Source organism: Homo sapiens, chromosome 14 (genome assembly GCF_000001405.40).
Source record: "Homo sapiens chromosome 14, GRCh38.p14 Primary Assembly".
NCBI lineage: Eukaryota > Metazoa > Chordata > Mammalia > Primates > Hominidae > Homo > Homo sapiens.
This window is the reverse complement of record NC_000014.9, coordinates 37,374,249-37,395,168: the sequence shown is the minus strand read 5'-3', so window position 1 is coordinate 37,395,168 and position 20,920 is coordinate 37,374,249. Positions and strand designations below refer to the sequence as shown.

The 20,920-nt window shown below is 33.4% G+C and overlaps 1 protein-coding gene and 1 long non-coding RNA gene across 14 annotated transcripts in view; one reads left to right on the top strand and one right to left on the bottom strand.

Moving 5' to 3' along the window:
- Positions 1-20,920, bottom strand: part of MIPOL1 (mirror-image polydactyly 1) — a 354,425-nt gene that overhangs the window by 157,193 nt on the left and 176,312 nt on the right. The window lies entirely within an intron of this gene.
- On the top strand, positions 6,319-10,737 carry LOC107984702 (uncharacterized). The gene is made up of 2 exons (XR_001750960.2): positions 6,319-6,418; positions 8,620-10,737. It is a non-coding gene; the product is annotated as an uncharacterized LOC107984702 (long non-coding RNA).

Sequence of the window (20,920 nt, the reverse complement as noted above, 5' to 3'; positions counted from 1 at the left end):
TATAAGGCTATCATCACCAAAACAGCATGGTACTGGTATAAAAACAGGCACTTAGACCAATGGAACAGAATAGAGAACCCATAAATAAACCCAAATATAGCCAACTGATCTTCAACAAAGCAAACAAAAACAAAGTGGGGAAAGGACACCCTTTTCAACAAATGATGCTGGGATAATTGGCTAGGCACATGTAGGAGAATGAAACTGGATTCTTATCTCTCACTTTATACAAAAATCAACTAAATATGGATTAAGGACTTAAATCCAAGACCTGCAACTATAAAAATTCTGGAAGATAACATCAGAAAAACCCTTATAGATACTGGCTTAGGCAAGGATTTCATGACCAAGAACCCAAAAGCAAATGCAATAAAAACAAAAATAAATAGTTGGGACTTAATTAAACTAAAGAGGTTTTGTATGGCAAAAGGAACGGTCAGCAGAGTAAACAGACAACACACCAAGTGGGAGAAAATCTTCACAATCTATACATCTTAGAAAGGACTAATATCCAGAATCTACAACGAGCTCAAACAAATCAGTAAGAAAAAAAACAAACAATCCCATCAAAAAGTGGGCTAAGGACATGAATAGACAATTCTCAAAAGAAGATATACAAATGGCCAACAAACATGAAAAAAATGCTCAGCATAACTAATGATCAAGGAAATGCAAATCAAAACCACAATGCAATACCACCTGACTCCTGCAAGAATAGCCATAATTCAAAAATCAAAAAAACAGTAGATGACGGTATGGATGCAGTGATCAGGGAACACTTCTACACTGCTGGTGGGAAGGTAAACTAGTACAGCCATTTTGGAAAACAGCGTGAAAATTCCTTAAAGAACTAAAAGTAGAGTTATCATTTAATCCAGCAATCCCACTACTGGGTATCTATGCAGAGAAAAAGAAGTTATATGAAAAATTTACTTGTATACGCATGTTCATAGCAGCAAAATTCACAAAATCTTGAATTTTGTGAATTCAATTTTTGCAAAAATTGTGGAACTAACCCAAATACCCATCAATCAATGAGCGGATAAACAAACTGTGGATATATATATATGATAGAACATGGAGATATATATATATATATATATATATATATGCCACTACTAAGCCATAAAAAGGAATGAATTAACGGCATTTGCAGCAACCTGGATGAGATTGGAGACTATTATTCTAAGTGAAGTAACTCAGGAATGGAAAGCCAAACATCATCATATGTTCTCACTGATAAGTGGAAGCTAAGCTATGAGAACACAAAGGCATAAGAATGATACAATGGACTTTGGGGACTTGGGAGGAGGGGTGGGAGGGGGCAAGGGATAAAAGACTACAAACAGGGTGCAGTGTATATTGCTCAGGTGATGGGTGCACCAAAATTTCACAAATCACCACTAAAGAACTTACTCATGTAACCAAATACCACCTGTACCCCAAAAACCTATGGAAAAATTAAAATAAATAAATAAGTAAATAAATAAATAAAAGGTTGGCCTGCCATAAAATTGTATTTTCAAAGGATAGGACAAAAAAAGTCCTCTTTAATTTAGAAACACAATAAAGGTAAGTAATTTATATGCTTTTCTTTAAACCTGCTTGATGATCACTAAAAAACACTACAAGGAGCCTAGAAAAAGAAGAATGAACCACCCAGGTTTGATGTTATATGTATGTTGCAACAAGTATTCATATAGTAAAAACAAAACAAAACAAACCCCCACCCCCACCCCCGCCACACACACACACACACACACAAAAACAAAACAAAACAAAACAAAACCTTAGTTTTTTGGAAAATAAGAATGTTTTAGAACTCAAAAAAATGTTACCAGAAAAGGCACTGTATTAGTTTCCTAGGGCTACTGAAACAAAGAACCACAAATTGGGTGGCTTAAAACCCACAGAAATGCTCTCACATTTCTGGAGGCCAGAAGTTCAAAATCAAGGTGTCAGCACAGTTGCCTTCTTATGGAAGGTCTGAGAGGGAATCTTCTGTGCCTCTCTCCCAGGTTCTGGTAGTTGCCATCAATCTTTCACATTCCTTGGCTTGTGGACACACTAATCTCTGCCTCATTACATGGCTTTTTTTCCTGTGTCTTTTGTATCTGTGTCCAAATTTTTCTCTTCTTATAAGAACACCAGTCATTGGATTAGGTGGTACCCTAATCCAGTATAATCTTATTTTAACTCAATTACATTTATGAAGATCCTATTTCCAAATAAAGTCACTTCAGAGATACTGGAATTAGGATTTGAACATATCTTTTGGGGGCACACAATTCTAACCACTACAGGCAGCCAGGTTGCACAAGACTTTAATTTCTTTAATAAACTATAACTTACTTGATATCTATTTTTGATTTCATAAGTTCAAATTACCTTTGTGCCCAACTGATGCTGAAAAAGCCTTCTACAGAGTTCAACATCCATTCACAATAAAAACTTTTAGCAAACTAGTCAGTGCCTAAAACTTTCTCACAGGGATAAAGGATATTTACAAAAAAACCACAGCTAACAATGTACTTAAGGTGAAATCCTGAATACTTTTCCTCAAGATAGAGAACAAGGCAATGATGTCTGTTCTCATCACTATTATTTAATATACCTAAATAACTTACAGCCCATGCAATAAGGAAGGAAAAGGAAATAAAAGGTATACATAATGGAAAGAAATACAAATGTCTGTATTTGTAGATGACATGATTACATTGAAAATCCCAAGGAATCTTTAAAAAACAACTGTAAAACTAGTAAGTCAGTCCATCAAAGCTGTAGGATACTATTAATGTAAAACTGGAAAGCAAAACGTTAAAATAATACTAATACCATTGTAATAGTGCTAAATATTAAATACTTAGGTGTAAATGCAACAAATGTGCAAAATCCATATGTTCAAAACTACAGAATGTTTATTAAATAAATCAAAGAAGACCTAAATAACTGGAGACACATACACTGTTCCTTGATCAGAAGTCTCAATGGTAAAGATGTCATTTCTCCTATCAAAAGCCCAACTGGATTTTTTTTGTAAATACAGACTGGTTGATTTTAAAACAAATAAAAGCAAGGAAAGTAGAATAGCTAAAACAATTCTGAAAAAAAACAAAATTGGAGTAATTGGAACATTTAGTCCACTTGGTTTAATAAATTATTCTTTTTTCAGGATTGTTTATTACTTTAATATTTAATTTAGACTATTTAAGTATATCCTATTATATCACTTTCCCCCTTCATTAGTTCCTAAATTCAAATTCTTGTCCTTTTCATGGTTATCTTAGAGATTCTAACTTGTTTTCCTGCCTTATAACAGTCTAATATAAATATATCACTTCTCCAGTAATGCTATACCTTAGAACATTTTGAGTCCATTACCCAGTTCTAGGCTTAAGGGTTATTTTTCTCATGGACTTTAATTTCTACATGGATTTGAAATGGCATAAGACATTATTATTAATTTTGAATAAGTGGCTGGGCACGGTGGCTCATGCCTGTAATCCCAGCACTTTGGGAGGCTGAGGCAGGTGGATCATGAGGTCAAGAGATACAGACCAGTCTGGCCAACATGCTGAAACCCCGTTTCTACTAAAAATAAAAAAATTAGCTGGACGTGGTGGCATGCACCTGTAGTCCCAGCTACTTGGGAGGCTGAGGCAGGAGAATGGCTTGAACTTGAAAGGTGGAGGTTGCAGGGAGCTGAGATCACGCCACGGCACTCCAGCATGGTGACAGAGTGAGACTCTATCTCAAAAAAAAAAAAAGATTAGGCTTCATTAGATCAATATTTTAATATTTCCAAACACATTTATCCTTCTGGCTGCTCTGAATTCCTTCTTACATTTCTGTGTTTGTGTTTGGTATCATTTTCCATTTGATTTAAGAAACCCCTTTACTATGTTTTTCAATTCACATCTGCATGTGACTAATTCTCTTGGAGTTTGTTTGTCTGAACTACGTTTATGTGCCACTATGTCACATTCCACTTTGAAAGATATTTAAACTAGGTATAGAATTTTACACTGGCTTTTTTTTTGGAGCTTTAACAATGTTATTCTAATCTCTTTTGACTTCTGTTATTTCTATTGAGAATTCAGCAGTCAGTAATGCTGTTCTTTGAACAACTTTTTTTCCTCAGTCTGCCTTTAAAATTTTTCTCCTTATCTCTGAGTTTATTACCTTAATTGTATTGTGTCCATGTGTCATTTTCTTTTATTTATCCTACTTGGTGTACTTAAGAGCTTCAAGAATTTGTGGTTTGAAATTTCCATCAGTTTTTGGAGAAATCTTGGCTACTATCTTGTCAACTTCTGCTTGTCACGTTGTCTTTCTCATCTCCTTCAGAGACTCTAATTATACCTATATTGTACTGTTTTGAGTTTCATTGTCTCTCAGCTACATCTCCTCTCCCCAAATTCCTTTTTATCTTTGCTATAATTTAAAAATGTACTGTTGATTTGTTATCTAGTTTACTAATCCTGTTTTCTGCTAAGCTCATCTAATTTCAGATATTGTGCTCATTACGATTAGAATTTCTATTTGATTTCCATTTGTTTTATAGAGATTACAATTTTATAATGAAATGCTTAATATTTTCATTTATTTTCTCTTATTTCTCCTACTTTTTTGAATATTTTCATTATAGCTATTGTAAAGTCCCTGTCATCTAATGCCAATATTGGATCAACTTTAAGTCAGTTTATACAACGTGTATTTCTCTTTGTTTTGAGCCTGTGGTCTTATCTTCTTGTGTATCTAGTAATTTTCAATGGAATGTCTTCAATTGTATATAATATATAAGTGACATTCCAGATATTATTTAGTCTTGAGGTTTAACCTTCATCTCTGCCAGGTAGATAAAGTGGGGCTGATCATTTTAATTAAGAACTGCAGAATATGGGGGTCAGTTAGCCTCTAGTTGTTTTTTGTTTTTTGTTTTTTTTCTTGAGAAGGAGTTTTGCTCTTGTTGCCCAGGCTGGAGTGCAATGGTGCAAACTTGGCTCACTGCAACCTCCACCTCCTAGGTTCAAGTGATTCTCCTGCTTCAGCCTCCGGAGTAGCTGGGATTACAGGTGCCCACCACCATGCCTGGCTAATTTTTTGTATATATACATATATATATTTTTGTAGTAGAGACAGGGTTTCACCCTGTTGAGCAGCTGGTCTCGAACTCCTGACCTCAAGTGATCCACCCATCTTGGCCTCCCAAAGTATTGGGATTACAGGTGTGAGCCACCGTGCCCAGCCTCTAGTTCTTATAAAACAGCTGCAAAATCCATCCTGCTTTTCAGACTTTTTGTTTGTTTTTAATCTCCAAACCTGTGCAGTCACAGATATCCATAAGGCACTACTGGATGTGTACTTAATGCTCCCTCCCCTCAGTATCAACCAAAAATCTGTTGTTTTTCTTTAAATACCAGACAATGGCTCTCCATGAGTAAAAAGCTAGAATTTTCAGATTTCTGCCTGCAGATAATCAACACATGCCTACGAGATAAAAGTGGCTGCAAAAATAAGCTCTCCTTTCAGGTTCTTCACTTCAACTGTTTTAGTCTCTCTAGTCTTCTTACTCCAATGAATAAAAGATTCTCGAGAATCCAAAATCAAGCCTCAGAAGATAGAACAATAAATATATAATATAAAAATTGACAGGAAAAAGAGTAAAGAAAGTCTCAGATTACCAGAATGTCAGGAAATCCAGCTGGAAAACAAGAGATCTAATCTATATCAATCATGTGATTAGGTGCAATATTCATTTACGTATATAAATATTATCTACACATACATGTTAACTCTGGGATTATCTTTCTTCCTTCAAGAGTTGAAAATATAAGAAATAGAAATGAAGTGTGTTTTACTACATGCCAGCATACATTTTTTAGTCTTATGAAGAAGACATATTATTACAGTAAAAATCTGTTTTTTGTTTTTTTTTACCACCCTTCATTCTTTTTTAGTGTTTCTGGTAGGAAAATATTTCCAATTTCTTTTAGAAAATCATTCTTCCCCTATTCATGACATATCCTTAGAAGCAGACCTAGATTGTCCTAAGGCGGTCAGTATATTTCACTCCATTGGTCACAGTAATCATTTTAGAGATAAATGAATAAGCACATGACCTCCAGTAGTCCAATTCAAGTTTAAAAGACCCAATTCTAGAATTTCTGTTTTTATTTTTGATAAAAAACTTTTTTTTCCTTCTAGCCTTCAACTGGTAAGTTGAGAAGGCAGAAGCTTCTACCTCATGAATGTTAAGCCAATACATAGAGGAGAGCAAACAAAACCTAGATACAGAACAAAAGTTTTGGGGTCCTACGCAAGAATTTGCTGAAGTTAAAAGAGAAATGAGCTACTATTACACACGACATGGATGAATCTCAAAATCATCATGTTGAAAGAAGCCAGACACAAAAGAGTAGGTATTATATGACTCTACTTGCATAGCATTCCAGAAAATGCAAGTGAATTTATAGTGACAAAAAAGCAGATGAGTGGTTGTTTGGGCTGGGGATAGAGGTTGGGAGGCAGCACAAAAAAAATATTTTGGTGGGATGATAGAAATGCTCTGTATCTTCATTACGGTGGACATATATGTCAAAATGCATTGAACTGTATACCTTAAATGGATGAAATTTACTGTCAACAAAATTGATTGAAAAAAGTAAAAAAAAAAAAAAAACACAAAAAAAACCCAAAAATAATCTCTGGAAGTTAGCCCTGTCCTTGGTCTTTTCAACTATGTGAACGATAAGTTTCATTTATGCTTGAGCAATTTGGGGTGTGGTTTTCTAACCCTTGAAACAAGCAAATACTATCCAATACAAATACATTCATTTTACAAAATTTACCATGGCAAGCAAATGTATTAATGCATTTTTGAAAGACAGTCAATAACAGTTGAAACAAAAAGGCTTACAGGTGCTTAAAGTCTCAGTTTTCTTTTAAACAAATAATTGTTAAAACCCCACAATTCTTCAACAACGCTGATTACCTCAAGTTTTTTTTTTTATCCTTTCTAAGATGAGAGTCTGACGATGTTTCTTAAGCTCTTATATTGTTTAGGAATTGTTACATAATGTTTTTCCTAATCACTGATAACATTTTTTTCTGGTTCGCACTTATAGTTGGACAAGAAATAATATATAATTTTCCAAGTAGCATCATCAAACATTTGCATCGTTTTAAGTCACATCTTTGCTTTTCCCTTCTCTTGGTTCAATTATCTTAATTTCTACCTCAAGTTTCCTTTATTTATTTATTTTAATACATCTTTTGGATCTTAGAAGTTTTCTCATTTTCTCTTTAGAATTACATAGGAAAATATTAGTTTTAGAGAAGCATGATTGTAAAACACCCAATATTTTATAATAAATACATTCTAAAAACAAGACTGATAGCTTCCAGATTTAAAAAACCTGCCATAGAGAAAACTATGGTCTTATAAATAGGGAAGTTAAAAATGTCCTTGAGACAGATACGTGTATCACATTTTTGTTAGAGAATCTTAAATTTCATATTATACAATAAAGTGAATATATGTAAATTAGGCTGAAAGTTAGGTCACAGGTATATAGCACTACCAAATGGGAATTGTTACCAGGACAAAACTGATACACTCAATGGAAATACTGTATCAGGTTTCATGATTTAAGTTCAACAATCTGAGGTTCTGGAAACAAAGTCTTAATAGCCCTACGAGAATCCTTCCTCCCCTTTACTTCCTTCCTAGTCACAGAAAATAATGAAAATGGAACACTTGAAATAAAATTATTGTTTCCTTAGTAGTTGTTTCATCTGATCAAAATATTTCTTCTGATCCATGTTAAACTACATACAATACAGAACTATTATAAATCCTTATTAATATATTATAGTTATTTTTATGTAATTTATGCCATTTAAAATAAATTTACCACTTTCCTTATATTCAAAAAATGTTTCCTAAATACTTTCATAGTTTAAAAATTCAGTTTTTAGTAATTTTCCTCACAGTTTCATTATCTTCTAGGTAATACACATTGTCATATATAATTCCTTTAAGGTACTGTCTGCAGCTGAGCATTCTTCACCTAGATGGATATCAACACCAAACTTACGGTTTTTGAATGGAATATTATTGAATATTATTTTTATAGCTTTTATGCAATGACACTTGTTGAATTTATTTTGAGATAATAGGTATAATAGATAATAGCCATATTATCAATTGGCTCTGTTGGGAAAAATGAGATAACTATAATTTGTATTTCAAATCCATTGAAAAGCTGGGATTAGAACACAGATATATGTGTAGCCATTATGGAGTATGAACGATATTGTTAAAATACTATTTATATTTAAAGCTAGTAAGATCAATTATTGCTTTATGCCTTTTAACACCTAACATGGTGACATATTAATTAACTAAGCACTTAATTCTGTATTTGACTCAGTGATTTATCTGTTCTCTACTACATTAACAACTGTCTAAGCAACTATCTAAACAATTAACAATTATCCAAATAAAATAAGACCTAGAATACAGGTTCTTAACCTAGAGCTCATCAGTGAGCTTGGGAAGGACATAAACTCCTTGAATTCTATGCAAATTTCTGTAAACTTGTATTTTTTTTTTAGGGAGAAGACTCGACATTTGCATTGGCTTCTCAAAAGGGTTTCAACTACACAAAAAGTGTTTAAAAATCCAGTTATATGGAGAAACAAGATCAATTTATTGTCAAAAGACAGAATTATTCCTCTTTTGCATCAACCAGGCTTGACATAACTGTAATCTCATGGAAATGTCTGCTACTGTAATCAAGAATTTGCATGTAGAAGGAATGCATCACAGAATATATGACATCTTGCTATGTCTACTGTACTAAAGAATTAAAGAGGTTTGAAAATAAATACTGAAACAAATCAGAAAGGAACCTCAATTTTATTAAACTAAAATATCATAGCTAGGAACATCTCAAATTGAGAATAAAGTTTATATAATATTTCAGAGTCATATGAATGTCATAAAATAATAAAAATGTACCATATAATTATTTAAAAAGCACAAGTCTATAAATTGGAAACAATGACCAGCTAAGAGATGACAGGTAGGCTGAAACTCAACCTATTTCCAAACCACTAAAGAAGACATAAATCAACTTAAAGGGAAAATTACATTTGTAGGTTTATAAACATATTTTTAAAAACCACTCCTATAAAGCAAAAGATATAAAAAGAAAACTTGAGAAATGATAAAAGGATAAAGGATAAAAAATTAACAAAGCTATATGTTAGGCCACTTTGGTTCATGCAATTTTCTTTTGTTTCTCTCTAAAATGGTATATCAATTTTTATTTTTCACAAACTTCTTTCAATTAAGAAAGAAAATACATTTGCACAGGAAAAAGCAGTTTTTCATCAACTTTTTCTAGTCAGTGAACAAAAGGCTGAGAAGAAATCTTTTTTTTAAAAAATGGTTACATTATAGTATAATGTATAGATTATATAAATCATGCATTATCTTACAGACATATATAAGAATGTATAGGGATAAAATGTATAAAATAGAAGAACCAAATGCTTGCAACAGAAAATAAAAGTGTAAAGTTTAGTTCTTTTTCTGTACTATAAAAAAACCAGCCATCCTGAAGGCCTGTGCCATTCTTAGGCCACTTTCAGGCAGATTCTGAAAAGCTGGAAAGTAAACACAGGTGTTTTAAAACTAGAGCTGCTGTCACGGACAACCACAAACACCCTTAACTCTGATGTGGCAACGCCTCTTTCCCGCCCTCTGTTTTTTAAAGCAATACCCGAAAAGAAAATGTCAAATGTTTCACCTTTCAACACCTCAGAATAAGTAAGAGCTTAAAGTGTTGTTCTGTAATCTCTAGCAAATAGATCACTTTTTCACTACTTTTAAATGTAGCCAATTAAATATTAATTACATAAGATAAAAAGTGGAATTTCTTTAAAAATTTCCACCACCCCAACCTTACACACCCTCCCTCTTCCACCATATTTTACAGCAGTTTCTTTAGTTCTTAAAGCAAAATCTTTTGTTTGACCACATTTAGATTATTTCTTCTATCGTATAGTTTTTACAGAAAATATCTGATTTTTTCTTGGAAAGTTTAACGTACAACTCAGAAAAATGCAGAGCTTTAACTGAAATATGTAATTCTCTTTTAGAAAACTGTATCCTAATAGGTACCTAAGTAGGAGTAGAAATCATTTACAGAGAAAAATAGAAGACAGAAAGTAAAATAATTCCCAAACTGCTACAAAACATGGAACTCAGGTTTTGGAATCAATTCATATATGGAATCAATTTTCAAACACTGAAATATCAATCTATTACTTATAATTGTATAAAATTGCCCTTAAAAAACAGGGATAAAATTCATTAGGAATTGATAAGTTACAACCTAACTAGTAAATATAAGAACTAAAGAAAAATTAATTCTTTATATTTCACCATATACATCAAGAAACAGGTACTGTTAAGGGAATGGCCAAGTAAGTATCAATCAGTTCCCAAATTAATCTTGGAGGTTATTTTGAGAGGTTTAGTCCTACCCTCAGAATTTCACAAATAATTCCTTTGTGCAATCCATGTAAGAAATGTTCTCTGAAATCACACTTGTTTGTATATTTGATAATTTTTTTTAAAAAACTGGTAGTTTCTTTGTGCTGTAAGCTTTAAATAAAGAGATGTCTGCCTTTTTAAATAATAAAATAAAAATTAATGAATAGGAATAAAAATAAAACTGAATGACAATTTTATATCAGTAGCTATATTTTTCCCAAAATTTCCTCAGATATTTTATCATTTTCTATTACCTTTTTAAAAATTGTGAAGAACTAATATCAGAGCTATATAATATTTGGCTAAGCAGAAGCAATCAATAATAAATAAGAGAAAAGTAAAGTTTTGCCATCTTTTTCAGATCCATCCATGCATTGCTTCATCTCAAATGTGAACGACATTATATAGTATTGAGACAAAATAATAATGTTGTGACAAACCAACGAAGTAAAGACATTTAGAATTAAGTTTGACAATTCTTAACTGAGTCCACTATACTCTGGTATTATAAAATATGCATGTTATCTATGGGCACAAAAGAGCAAGGAAAGGGCAGTGTGTCAGTATTGAAGTTAATTTCCTTGCTTTTGTTGGTTTATATTACCATCTAATAGTACACAAACAATCTGTTTCTAGGCAATGAATTTCTTCCTCTGCCATGATGAGCTGAGTTCATTTGTATGTTAAATATCTTTCAGCATATAAAAATCCAGTTTAACAGCAACAGCAACAAAAGCCAGTAAAGGAATGTCATTTAAAAATCAAATTTACAAAAATATAAGATATAAAACATTTGCTTAATTAGAAAGAAGATTACTACTTACATTTTACAACCTCTCAAAAGGTGAAGGTAATTAACACAGCAGAATTTATTAAAACAAATGATATTAATATATCTTAGAATACTCAAGTTTTCTTGGTAATTCTTTCTTGGTCTTTCTAAAAGTAAAGTACTTATCTGAAAACTTGTAGATCTAGATAAAAACCAGTAAATGACTAACACAAGTAAGATTCCAGCAACTATTACAGTATGAAAATTTTTAAAAGAGGCACCTCAGACTTAAAACCTGACCATCATATAACGGAGCAAAAACACAATGGACAAATGTACTTTTTTGATGGCTGTGATCATGACTTAATTTCACTATCCTCCTTTTCTAGTAAAAATAATAGTCTTTCTAGTATTTAAAATGAGTAATTTATGTACTAAAATTCAATGTAAAAAATTGTCACTTTTAAGAAAGAAGGACAAAAATGCTGATACAAGTTGAGAATAAAATACACAAAAATGACTCTGGACTTAAACCTAAAATAGCAAGTATCAAAAGAAAGTGAAGATTAAATAGTCATAAATCACAAACAATACCTGAAACAAGATACTGGATTACACTGAAAACACTTGCATGGAATATGTAAAACTATGTTGCATGATTTTGTGAAATTATTAAGAACGTACAAATAAAAGATAATATAAATGCCATTTAGATACGATTATGGTTGTACACGATTCAAAGTTAACATTTTCTAAAGAAAAGGCTGTAAGTTATCAAAACTCCAAGAGGGTGACATTCATCTGAAGATACATGAAATTTTTTTCAAGACTGTGAAATATATTCTTAAAAAAAAATTTAATATAAATACAAAAGAATAAAAATCTTGGAAATATGCTTTTTGTATCGAATTTTAAATACTAAGTAATAAATTATAGGATCTATAAAATGTGTCTATGAGTCAGTAGGCAAGAGTGATTTTCCAAGATGCCTTTTTTTGTTTCAGTTAAAATTAAAATCCATGCTATCTAATCCTTGGAGTCAATTTGTAATTAAGGGGATTTGATGAGAGACCAGGCACTGAATTAATGATAAAATTTAATATCTGTTTTAATGCATCAACATAACAGAAAAACTAACCAACACTGAACAACACAATAAAGTCATTTTGTTATAGAGGACATATCTATGTCAGTCTGTGAATGTTATTTTTTTGAAAAGAAATATATATGCTAAAGTTCTTTAGATGAACTGGTAAAAACCGTATGTCTAAACGTCAATACTCATGTCAAAAATATTAAAATAAAGATTAGTTTGGTATGAAAACTACATTGGTAAATGCAATTACTTTTACTGAGAATTTTATGTAATCTCTAATGAAAGTCTCAACTACTTTCCATATCATGTTTCAAAGCAGAAATACTTAGTAAAGTAAGTTAATTGCATTTGACAATAGTAAGTTTATTTATTAAAAATATATTTTTAGTTAAGAAAGAACGCTTAAGTTTTAAGATCTAACAAATTAAATTTCATAGTATTTCAAACAACCAATCTGGACTTTATGCTATGCTTTTCACAGCATTACTACACTGCAATTCATCAAAGAATTTAATATATCACTTATTCCAAATCACTTTAGGGCACAACTTTACATAGAATTCAGTTACTGGAAATAGTTAAAACTCAAAGAATGAAAAAATTTCATTTGACCAGCATTCACCATGTAGCCTCAACCAATTCTTCCCCCTAAAATACCAAGAAAGCACTAAAAAGACATAAAACTGATAATGCTTCCAAAATACTGACATCATCCTAATATAAAAATCAACTTGAAAATCAAACAAAACTAAGGTTGAGGAACTATTTTGTCCTTACTTTACCTTCCAAACACAAAGTCTACACTAGGCAAGTTTTCAAATTCAGAGTAAGATATTCTAATTCAGGTCAAGCACAGTGGCTCATATCTATAATCCCAGTACCTTGGGAGGCTGAGCTGAGAAGATAGCTTAAGCTCAGGAGTTCCAGACCAGCCTGGGCAAAATAGTGAGATCTCATCTCTACTAAAAATAAAAAAAAAAAAAATTAGCAGGGCACAGAAGTGTGTGCCTATAGTGTCAACTGCTTAGGAGGCTGAGGTGGGAGGATCACTTGAGCCTGGAAGATTGGGGCTGCAGTGAGCTACAACTGTACCACTGCACTCCAGCCTGGGTGACAGAAGGAGACCCTGTCTTGAAAAAAAAAAAATTCCAATTCAGTAGACTTTGGGTTGGGCCAGATTTTACTATTTTGGAAACATTTTTTTGATTATTCAAATACATGCCTTTGTAAAGAACCTTTAACCTATATTTATTACCTAACCTGACCTCTGCTAGGTATTGTCTTTAAAGCTATCCAGGACATTGTTTCCAAAAATATATCAGAGACACCTGCTCTTCTACACCCTTTTGGCCATTGTAATACGAAAAGTCAATAGGGTCAGAAAAAGAAGGGAGAAGATAATGAGCTCCTTAGAAAATAATTTACATTTTTCTACTTTTAAACTTTACATTTACAAGAGTCAAGGCTTCCACTATCACCAATGAGAGTAGAAGGTAAGGAGGAAGATAGTAATGAAGGTACCTACTATTGATGTGGGCAGAGATAGGAAAGGCCTAGGAGGAAGACCTGGGAACACTGAGAGTCTTACATATTCAATTTTTTTCCAGGTCAGTGAACATTTTCTTATGAAAACAATTTCATTCTACCACCCAAATTCCTCTCCCTGAAGTACTGTGGCCAAACTGAAAAAAGGATAAGTAGGTATTAGCTGAACAAAGTAAGGGAATAGACGATATAGAGCGTTTCCATCAGAGAAAATGCTGGATACAAAGACCAGGTGACACAAAGGTTGGAAAAGCATTCCAGGATCTATCCAAAGTCAGTTAACATACTGATACATCTGCCTGTTGGGCCTAAAATTCAGCCTCCTACTAAAAATTTGTGCCGTCATTCAAGTATTCATTTTTTAAAATTTGTGGCATATTACAAAATGTATAAAACAGTTCCTGTAAGGAAGCTTGCAATGTAATTTTATATTTCTATCATTACTTATCAAAATAAAGTATCAAATTCCTAAAACAACACTGACTATGAAACTCCCAATTAGAAAAACATCATTAGTAACCAATGTTAAAAGCAATTATATGCAAGTATCATAAGTATTACATTTACATTTGTCATAAATAATCTCCACAGAAATTTCTCACAGTAATTCAGTATTCCTTTCATGGCAGAGGTTATAGTTCACAGTTGTTTCATCTGCATCTCATCAGTCTTTATTGTGTCTTGATGGACTTGATGAACCTGCATAGGCTATAATGATTTGACTATACCTGGTGTTATAATCCATGGAATCACCTTTCACTGTAGTTGTTCATTTTAGACAGCACACAATGAATGCTGTTAGAGCAATTCCACATTTGGTATGCAAAGACTGTAAACCTGGTCTAGCTGAGAGTCTTGCTTGTAAAGAAAGACATTCTCTTGAGAAAAAAATTATTCTGTGGAAAACAAAGGCTGGCAAGGGAACAGAACGCTGTTAGAAACCAAGGCAGAATTTCTCCCCATCTCCCTTGTTCAAAAATTGGTGTTTTCTTTATATACTGACTTCTTTCTCTCCGCTTTTCCAACTGACTGCTTCATAACTTCAGATTGCCCATAGTCTACAGCTGTCTACATGGACCCAGGCCTACTTCATGATCATTTGGTTTAGCATTCAAAACTGACTTAGCTCCCTTCCCTTTCAGTATCCCAATTCCAAATTATTGAAGGAGTAATCTGACTTACTACCTTTTCAAACCAGGCCATATAGCTCAAGGTCATTAGGTGGCTTTGGGTTACACGGCCATGCATCAGATTTCTTATAGAAAGAGAATGGTTGAAGGATGGGTAAATGAATTTGAGTAGACAACAAAAAAGATTTGTTACACTCTTCATTCTTTAAAACAAATCTTCCTCAGTATTACATACACATTATACACTAACCTTCCCACTTTTACTTAATAACTGAGCTCCTCAAAAAAAATTTACATTTTTCTACTTTTAAACTTTCCATTTACAAGAGTCAAGGCTTCCACTACCACCAATGAACTGAAATTGCAATGACAAAGCTACCACTGCCTTAGAAATATGCCTGTTCTGATACTTTGCCCATTTTTGAATTGGGTTACTTGCCTTTTCTTTGCTGAGTTATAAGATTTATATACTCTAGATATAAGTTCCTTGCCAGATATATGATTTGTAAATAATTTTCCCATTATGTGGGTTGTTTTCTCACATTTTTGATGGTATACTTTAAAACACAGAAGTTTTATATTTTTATTAGGCCCAGCTTAACTGTTTTTTAGTTGTTGCTTGGGATTTTGGTTTCGATCTAAGAAAGCTTTGCCTAACTGAAGGACGCAAAAATTTGCAGTTATGTTTTTTCTTCTAGGAGTTTTATAGTTTTAGCTTTAACATTTAGATTTGTGAAAAATTTTGAATTACTTTTGTATGTTGTATGATGAGGTATGGATCCAAATGCATTCTTTTGCATATGAATAGCCAGTTGTCTTGAGACCATTTGTTGAAAATGCTATTTTTATCCCCATTGAATTGTTTTGTCACCCCTCTCAAAAGTCAATTGACCATAAGTATGAGGTTGAGTTCTGGACTCTCAATTCTGTTCCACTTATCTGTATGTCTGTCCTTATGCTATTACCATACTATCTTGATTACTGTAGCTTTGTAGTAGGCATTACATCAAGACCCGTGAGTCATCCAAGTTTGTTCTTTTTCAAGATTGTTTCGGCTGTATCAGTTTTTATATTAGGATTACTAGCTTAATGAATGATATAAATTTCTACCTTTCACTGTGGTCTTGTTTAGATTGCATTAGAATGATCTTGGCTTAAGTAGTAAATAGGATCCGTTTTTTAAATCATATAGTCTTAGTGCCTTTTTATACAGTGAATTTTAAATTACTTTTTCAGTTGTTTCAATACATCCGTCTACTTTTCTGCTTCTTAAGTCAATTTTAGTGGCCTGTATATTTTGCTAGGAAAGTACCTTCTTTCCTTTGACTCCCTCTCCCTTCTTCCTTTCCTTCCGTCCCTCCCTCTCTTTTCTTTCATCCCTTCCTTCTTACATTCTTTCCTTCCCTCCCTCCCTCCCTTTCCTCCTTCCCTCCTCCCCGGCATATAAGTCTGTGACATTTTAATATCACCACAATGGGAATACAGAATGGTTACATCACTATAAAGAAATACCCCCTTGTTACCTTTCCATAGTCATAGCCTGTTCCCAAACCTAACTCCTAGCAACCACTGATTTTTTTCTCTATCACTATAATTTTGTCACTTTGGGACTTATATAAAAATGGAATCATATAAATTTAACCCTTTGAGAATGGCTTTTGCATCATGCCCTTGAGACCCATCTGAGTCATGGGTGTATCAATAGGTTGTTTCCTTTTATTGTTGAGTAATATTCTATTGTGTGGACATTCATCTGTTGACCTACTAAATTTGGCTTCTTTCTAGTTTTGGGCAATTATGAATTAAGCTGCTATGATCATTTATGTACATGATTTGTGTTAAAATACATTTGCATTTTTCTGAGATAAAGATCCAGGAGTGCAATAGCTGGGTTATATGGTAAGTATAAATTTAACTTTATAATAAACTGCCAATGTTCCAAAGTAGCTGTACCATTTTACACTCCTAACAGCAATGTATGAAAGATTCAATTTCTCCACATCCTGTCAACATTTAGTATATCAGTATTTTTTCATTTTAGCCATTCAATTGGTGTGACATGATATCTCATTATGATTTTAATAAACTTGTAAATTTTTAAAGATAATTTTAATTTTAAAAAGTTTTAAAAATAGTAAAGTCAGAGTTTAAGATTTCAGCTACTTTTGTCAAACATTCTGCTTCAGTAATACTGGACTCAGAAGGATCACTGGTGCCCAGGAATTGGAGGTTATAGTGAGCTATGATCATACCACTGCACTCCAGCCTGGGCAAAAAGAAAGAGCCTGTCTCTTAAAAAAAAAAAAAAAAAAGGCATAAAAATAGGAAAGAAATAACCACCGCACTCCTGTCAAGACTGAATGCTGAATTGTTTTTTGGCAGGGGAAAGCTTGAGAGGATATGAAGATTATATCAACTGTCTTAGCCTACATGCCTAGAAGGATGGTAGTACCATTAATTGATAGATGTTAATAGACCAATTTGGCAGTAAATAATAGAAAACCATAAAGAATGATTTAAAATATAGGGCTATTTTATCTTGCCCCCCAAAAAGTTGCTGATGATATAGTTGCTTAACGTTCTGTCAGTGGCTCATTGGCTAAGAGGTTCAATGGTGTTACAGCCAGCTACCCTTGGCCTTTGTCTCATGACTATAAAATGACTACTGCAGTTTCAGACAGCATGTAATAAGAAGGGAGGAAGGAGTGATGTTTACTTCATCTGCCCTTATCTAAGGAAAACAAAAACTTTTACAAAGATGCCCCTCTTTCCTCCTCCCCTACTGCTGCAGATTCGCTTTTATGACTCACTGGTAAAAAGAAAAGCTGAGAAAGTATTTAACTTTTCCAGTGTCTATAGCAGAGTCATGCAAAGGAGAGTATGACTGGAAATAAATGTTGAGTTATAAAGTCAATAGTGTTTGACTCAGGTCCTGACTCCTTCCCGGGTAGAAGGCTTACAGAGTCAAATTAGGCATTTGGTTTCAAATTTGCTGTGGTTAAGCAGACATTAAGATATTCAAGTGGAAGAGCAGACATAGAGTCATTAGGACAAAAATGATAGGTGATGCCATAGGAAAAGATTAAATTGAGAAGACTACAAAAAAGAAACATCAACTGCTGGTGAGAATATGGAGCAACAGAAGCTCTCATTCATTACTGGTGGGAAAGCAAAATGGTACAACTATCTTGGAAGACAATTGGCAGTTTCCTATAAAACTAAACATATTTTTACGTATGATCCAGAAATTGCACTCCTTAGTACATACTCAAATGAGCTGAAAACACCTGGGTCCATACAAACAAAATGCACATGGGTGTTTATAGAAACTTTATTCATAACTGCCAAAACTTGGAAGCAACAAAGATGATTTTCAGTAGATGACTGAATAAATAAACTGTGGTATATCCACACAATTAAATGTGATTTAGCTGGTGCTAAGAGTTTAGCACCAGCAAACCTCTTAGCCCATAAGTCACTGACAGAACATTAAGCAACTATATCCTGATTTTTTTTTGAGCAAGAGAGAAAAAAGCCCTATATTTTAAGCACTTTAAAAAAAGGAGCTATAAAGCCATCAAAAGATATATGGGAATTTTAAATGCATATTACTAAGTTATAGAAGCCAATATGAAAAGGCCACATATTCTATAATTCCAACTATATGACATTCTGGAAAAAGCGAAACTATGGAAACAGCAAAAAGCTGGTCAGGAGGGATGAACAGGCAGACCACAGAGGATATTTTGGGCGGTGAAACTGTCCTGCATGATACTATAATGACTACATAACATTAAACATTTATCAAAAGCCACTCAATGTTCTACACCAAGTGAATTCTAATGTAAACTATGAACTTTTGGTTACAATGATGTGTCAATGTAGGTTCACTAACTATAACAAATGTACCACTCTGGTGCAGGATGTTGATAGTGGGAGAGGTTGTATGTCTGTGGGACCAGTGAATATATGGAAACTCTGTGTTTTACAATTTTGATGTGAACCTAAAACTACTCTAAAAAGCAAAGTTTATTTTAAAAAATAAGAATAAGGAAATAACTAACCCAGAGAACATTTATTCTTTAGAAATAGATGGAAAAATAAGCACCACCAATTAAGACTAAGTAAGGAAGAGCAAACAAAGAGGAAAAAAAATGGAGATATGGTGACAGAAAACTACAGAAAGCCAGTCACAGGAGTAACTGCCTACTTGGCAAGCTGAGGCAGGAGAACTGCTTGAGCCCAAGAGTTTGAGATCAGCCTGGGTAACATGGTAAGAATGAAAGAAAGAAAGAAAAGAAAGAGAAGAGTAGAGAAGAGAAAAGAGAGAACAGGAAGAAAGGAAAGAAAACTAGTGTGTCAAGAGGGTGGGACCCAACAAGACTGAAATGAGCTATTCTTCTTAGGTTGATTGGGATGTAAAGATAATACATAATAAATATCAAAGTTTTATTAACAATCAGAGCTCTTTTATAATCTAAGGAAGATTCACTTTCAATGGAATTACATTGGACAGTTCCAACTGTAGGAAGGAAATGTGTGAGTAGGAAGGTAAATTAATAAATTAAAAAGGAGGCTGGGCATGGCAGCTCATGTCTGTAATCCCCGCACTGTGGGAGGTCGAAGCGGAATGATCACTTGAGCCCAGGAGTTTGAGACCTCGTCTCTACAAATAATAAAAAAATCAGCAGGGCATGGTGGCACATGCCGTGCTTCCAGTTATGTGGGAGGCTGAGGTGGGGGAACCACTTAAGCCAAGGTGGTTGAGGCTATAGTGAGCTGTGATTGTGACACTGGACTCCAGCCTAGGTGACACAGTGAGACACTCATCTAAAAAAAATTATAATAATAATGAAAATAATTATTAAAAAGGGTAGACAGACAGCCAAATCATGAATGAACTCCCATTCACAACTGCTACAAAAAGAATAAAATACCTAGGAATACAACTTACAAGGGATGTGAAGGACCTCTTCAAGGAGAACTACAAACCACTGCTCAACAAAATAAAAGAGGACACAAATAAATGGAAAAACATTCCATGCTCATGGATAGAAGAATCAATATCGTGAAAATAGCCATATTGCCCAAGGTAATTTATAGATTCAATGCTATCGCCATCAAGCTAACATGAACTTTCTTCACAAAATTAGAAAAAGCTACTTTAAATTTCATATGGAACCAAAAAGGAGCCCACATAGCCAAGACAATCCTAAGCAAAAAGAACAAAGCTGGATGCATCACGATAACTGACTTCAAACTATACGAGGCTACAGTAACCAAAACAGCATGGTACTTGTAGGAAAACAGATATATAGACCAATGAAACAGAACAGAGGCCTCAGAAATAACACTACACATCTACAACCATTTGGTCTTTGAGAAAACTGGAAAAAAACAAGCAATCGGGAAAGGATTCCCTATTTAATAAATGGTGTTGGGAAAACTGGCTAGCCATATGCAGAAAACTGAAACTGGACCCCTTCCTTACATCTTATACAAAAATTAACTCAAGATGGATTAAAGACTTAAACATAAGACCTAACACCATAAAAATCCTAGAAGAAAACCTAGGCAATACCATTCAGGACACAGGCATGGGCAAAGACTTCATGACTAAAACACCAAAAGCAATGGCAACAAAAGTCAAAATAGACAAATGGGATCTAATTAAACTAAGGAGCTTCTGCACGGCAAAAGAAACTACCATCAGAGTGAACAGGCAACCTACAGAATGGGAGAAAATTTTTGCAATCTACCCATCTGACAAAGGGCTAATATCCAGAATCTACAAATAACTTAAACAAATT